Here is a 3,580-nt window from a genome sequence, read left to right as displayed (position 1 = left end):
GCTGGGACCATGGGGGTGCACCACGATGCCTGGCTTCTCTTGAACTTCGGACTGGACATAAACTAGATGCTCTGCTGGGAGCTCAGACTCAAGAGGCTACTGCATCATAAGTATTCCTATTTTTATTAATGGCTGACATTGAGCACTGTCTTAGGTTGTTTTCCTCAGGAGCAGGCCCGGAGATGCGACATGAGTGCAAATAGTTTACTTGGAAGGTGATACCAGGAACACTGGTTGGAAGAAACGAAGTTGGAGAGGGTGAGGGAAGGAAGCCAATACAGGGGATATTGATGGGCAGAATGACTGTTGTGGGCAACTGGGGTTCACTCTCCTGGGGACTGCTGGGATAATTGATAGAACAGACTTCATGTTGCCCAGGTGAGGAGCAAAGAGGCTGGGTATATATCCACCAACCCTTCTTTATTCCTACGAAAGTGCTGAAAGGCCTGTTGCAGTGAGGTCTCTGGCCAAGGACACACAGAGGCTTGAAGTGGGAAGCCATTGGCTGTGCAGGGAGGGTGAGTGATATGGTTAGGCTTTGTGTCCCAACCCAAATCTCATCTTGAATTGTAATCACCATAATCCCCATAATCTGCGCGTGTCAAGGGAGAGACCAGGTGGAGGTAACTGAATCACGGGGCTTGTTTCCCCCATGCTGTTCTCGTGATAGTGAGTGAGTTCTCACGAGATCTAATGGTTTCATAAGGGGCTCTTCCTGCTTCACTCGGCACTGCTCCTTCCCGCTGCCCTGTGAAGAGGGTGCCTCGCTTCCCATTCTCCTTCCGCCGTGAGTGTAAGTTTCCTGAGGCCTCCTCAGCCATGCAGAACTGTGAGTCAATTAAACCTCTTTTCCTGATAAATTACCCATTCTCGGCTATGTCTTTACAGCAGTGTGAAGACAGACTAATACAGTGAGTGTCAGTGGGCTCAGAGGGTGCATGTGGCATTCCCTGTGAGAGTGTCTTGCTGTGTGATTTGCACACTCCATCTCCTTCATCACCACCAGCAGCTCAGGAAGCAGAGACTCTGATGACCCCCATTTGCGGATGGGGAAACTGAGGCTTGAAGAGGTCAAAATATTGGCTCAGGGTCGCCTCCAGGAGGGGAGGAGGCTGGGCTTTGGACCCAGGGAACCTGACCCAGAGCCTGTGCTTCTACACTGTGCACCTCCTGCTTCCTGACACACGACTGTGCTCCTTCGAGGAGCCACCTGGGGAAGAAGTGGGAGGCAGAGAGAATCCAGGAGCTTACTTAGCTTCCGTGCTGTGCATTTCTTTAAATCACAGGATTCTTGCAATTTTCTGAGCTGTCGGTTCCCCACTTGGCGGGATTTTGGGCTCTGAGGTGGGAATTCTGCCTGGGAAGCCTGCAGAGGGGAAATGAACCGGGAGCAGCCCTGGGGGCTTGGTAATCACATTAGTTGGATTTTGATTAAAGCAAATATGTGTATGTGAGATTTCTTAGAATACTTTTCTGGGGGTTTTGGTTGGAAAACAACCATTTCTTGTGCTTTGAATGATATATTCTAAAGGCATTCCCTCCTCTGTCTATTGGGTTCAAAAATCTCAGTCAAGCACAGGAGAAGAAAAGTATTTTCATTCTTGATTTTCTTTACCTCTTCATTTGTTATTTCCTTCTATGGAATAATAGTAGCAGTAGTAATAGCGGTTATTGACAGAGGGCTTACTGTATATGCAAAATGATATATATGTAATATATAAATATATATTTATGTATATCTAAATATGTAAGTATAAATATATAAGTATTATATTACTTAATCTCCACAACAACACTGTGAGATGAGTACCTGACCATTTTGCAGAGGCTGAAACTGAGGCTCAAGAGATGAAGTTATTTGCCTAGGTTCACATAGCCAGGAAAGGGTGGGCATGAGGTCCACTCCCAGCTGCCTGGTGTCAAAGCCTTCGCTTCTAACCACTCCCCACTTTGCCTCCCTCTAACCCCACTCCCCAGTAGCCCTGCATACTCCATTCCATTTTCCAGATGGGACCTAAGTTGTTGTTTTTGTTGTTTTTTGAGACAGGGTCTCACTCTGTCTCCCAGGCTGGAATCCAATGGCGCGATCACGGCTCACTGCAACCTCCGCCTCCCAGATTCCAGCGATCGTCCCACCTCAGCCTCTGGAGTATCTGGGAGGCCTGCACCACCATGCCTGGCTAATTTTTGTAATTTTAGTAGAGACAGGATTTTACCATATTGGCCAGGCTTGTCTCGAACTCCTGACCTCAAGTGATCCGCCTACATCGGCCTCCCAAAGTGCTGAGATTACAGGTGTGAGCCACCGTACCAGGCAGGGACCTAAGCCGAAGTGGGCTCAGCTTCTATTCTGGCTCATCCGGTGGAGTCGGCAGTGAACCTGGGAACCCTGGGAGGGGCTCTGGAACCCCGTCCCTGTTCTGTGTCCCAGGAGCCTCTGACTGTGCCCTCTGCCGAAGGCCTCTAATCACAAGTAAAAGTGTCACAGCATGATTTGTTGAGAATCAGGACTGTGGGTGATTTTTTTTTAACCTTCCATTTCGATTACTCTGGCTGTGGTGTAGGGGCAATGAAAATGAGTTCCAAAGGCTTTATCTTCTTTTTCTGCTCTCTCTCCTGGCCGTCCTCTTTCATCCTGACTCTCTTTGGGCACGTGTTGGATGTGAACGGCCATTCACTAGTTCCAGCAGTGACACACAGCCATTCTCCACCCCTGAACATGGCTCTGTGTGGGGACTGGGCTCTCTCTCCACCGGAGAGAATCAACACAGGAAAATCAACACAGTCACTTAGCGACAGATGGAAAGGGCTCAGAAATGATGTTCTAAACAGCCACCAAATAAAAGACAGGGAGATCCAGATCCCATAGCCACTAACTGAGCTCCCACTGCGGGCAGCTGTGTGCATTACTGATGTTGTCCAGGGGGAGAGGAGGGGAGGGATTGAGTGCTGAACTCAGCTTCTCATTCTCTAAGCTCCACCAGGTCATTCTCTCATTCAATAAACATTCACTGAGCACCTGCTATGCTCCACGCCCAGTTTTAAGGCACTGGGAATATAGCAGGCAAGTATTCTTGCCTCCTGGGACTTAGATTCTAGTGGAAAAAAATCAAGTAGAACAAGATAAATAGGTAAATGGTTACTAATAACTATGGCTTGTGGGATGGTGATGAGGTAAAGTGGGGAGTGGGGCTGGTTGGGGGGATTTGTAATTTTAAACAGTGTGGTCCGTAAAGGCTCTCTGAGGAGGTGGCCTGTGAACAAAAAGACCAGCAGCAGGGGTGGGTGTGAGCCCTGTGGGTCTGTGGAGGGAGAGCATCTGAGGTAGACGCGATGGAGCAGGGCAGTGAGTTTGAGGAACTCGCTGGAGCAGGTGAGCGAGTGACCAGTGCCAGAGGATGCAGGACCTTGGGGTCAATGCCTTAAGTCAGAAGGGAGCCATTGGAAGGGTCTAAGCACAGCAGGGGTGCAGTCTTGTGTGTGGTATGTGTGTGTGTGTGTGTGTGTGTGTGTGTGTGGAGAGAGAGAGACAGAGACAGAGACAAGGTCTTGCTCTGTAACCCAGGCGGGAGTGCAGTGG

General features: G+C 49.2%; 1 annotated feature.

Moving 5' to 3' along the window:
* Positions 535 to 731: a silencer, noted in NCBI's record as "fragment chr1:11640244-11640440 (GRCh37/hg19 assembly coordinates)". NCBI's record gives its function as "represses an EF-1alpha promoter that drives an FKBP-Casp9 reporter gene in an ReSE screen in phorbol 12-myristate 13-acetate-treated (for megakaryocytic differentiation) K562 erythroleukemia cells {active_cell/tissue: K562(+PMA)}" and the evidence as "EXISTENCE:reporter gene assay evidence [ECO:0000049][PMID:32094911]".

The sequence above is a fragment of the Homo sapiens genome, chromosome 1 (assembly GCF_000001405.40).
Source record: "Homo sapiens chromosome 1, GRCh38.p14 Primary Assembly".
Classification (NCBI taxonomy): domain Eukaryota; kingdom Metazoa; phylum Chordata; class Mammalia; order Primates; family Hominidae; genus Homo; species Homo sapiens.
Note: the sequence above shows the minus strand (reverse complement) of the source record. Positions and strands in the feature narration are given on the sequence as shown.